Source organism: Homo sapiens, chromosome 2, assembly GCF_000001405.40.
Source record: "Homo sapiens chromosome 2, GRCh38.p14 Primary Assembly".
NCBI lineage: Eukaryota > Metazoa > Chordata > Mammalia > Primates > Hominidae > Homo > Homo sapiens.
The window spans coordinates 164,887,632-164,889,319 of NC_000002.12; positions in this window are offsets into that span (position 1 = coordinate 164,887,632).

Here is a 1,688-nt window from a genome sequence, read left to right on the forward strand (position 1 = left end):
TCTAGGTATGACTTCTTCTGGCTTACTTCCTTTTTCCCCAGCTTTATTCAAGCACAATTGACAAATAAAAATGTTATATATTTAAGATGTACAGCAAGACGTTTTCATGTCTGTATACACTGTGAAATAATTACCATTTTCTAGTATACAATCTGGTATTATTAACTATAGCCAGTATGGTATACATTAGATCTCTAAAACTTATTTATCCTGCATAACTAAACTTTTTACCCTTTGACCGACATTTCTGCCAACACACCCCTCCCAGCCCCTGGCAACCACCATTCTACTCTTGACTTTATGAGTTTTTGGATTCTACATATAACTGAGATCATGCAGTATTTGTCTTTCTGTGTCTGGCTCATTTCACTTAGCTTAATGTCCTCCAGGTTTATCCATGTTTGCAAAAGGCAGGATTTTCTCCTTCTTAAGGAAATTTTTTTTTTGTGATTCCCCTTATTATCAAGAGTTCTTGAGGTCAGAATGAGGAATATTCCCTTTTCCCTGAATGCCAGACCCTCACTAAATTTAAATTAAATTATATGATGCAGTTATTGCTTGCTTATAGATATTTCTTTCATTAAGCTATTAATGTCACCGAAATAATTGCATGTTCATTATTATTAAAGTCAAAATGTATTTTAAGTGGCTTTTCAGTCAACTTGGAGACTATGTCTTATAATACCAAATATTTTATATTTAGCTAACCACTTAATCTAGAAGCAACATAAATTTTAGAGTAATCTTTATGACTCTCATATATTTATTAAGTTATCTTCTTTTTGCATTCAAAGTAAGTAGTATATTCAGGCTTTACATGTTTATTGCAATGATTACCCCGTCCATAGCCCACCTCCTATTTGTTTGATGACACATATGACTCTAAATTCAAAGCATATTCCCATCCTGAAAACTTTCTAACTGACTTATTCATTAAGGTTTTTTAAATACAAACTAGAAATCAACAGGTTGTCTTTAAGATTTCTTCATTTGTAGCATTATTTCTACCATAGTTAAAAAGAATTTGCCAGTGTGACCTAAATAAAAGATATGGCTGGTGTGTTTCAATTTTAGGCAATGATGGCAAAAACATGTTTTATTTTATCTTTTTGAGATAAGGTCTTGCTCTGTTGTCCAGGCTGGAGTGCAATGGTGTGATCACAGCTCACTGCAGGCTGTTTCCCAGGCTCAAGTGATCCTCCTGCCTCACCCTCGTGAGTAGCTAGGCCCACAGGCATGAGCCACCACACTCGGCTAATTTCTAAATATTTTTTTGTAGAGATGGGGTGGGGCGTGGTTCATGATATCACCCAAGCTGATCTCAAACTCCTGGGCTCAAGCAATCCTTCCACTTCAGCCTCCTGAGTAGCTGGGACCACAGGTGCATGCCACTCTCCCTGGCTAAATTGGAAAAAAAGTTTTTGACCACATGAATACAGGCAGAACAGATACAAATAGGCTTCAGTGTTATAGCCAAGAACCTTTTTTCTTCCCCAGGTTCCTGAAAGGTTACCCCACAGTCTCATCAGTAACAAAAGCCCTAGTGTGGGCATAATAGGCTCTCCAAGAAGTGACTGCGTATTTAATCGTTTCCTAGCTGATTCTGATAGGTCCTGCTCCCAAGGGACAAGGTCCCTTTTATGCTAGTGCTTCTCAAACTTGACTGTGCACATGAGCAACCTGTGGCT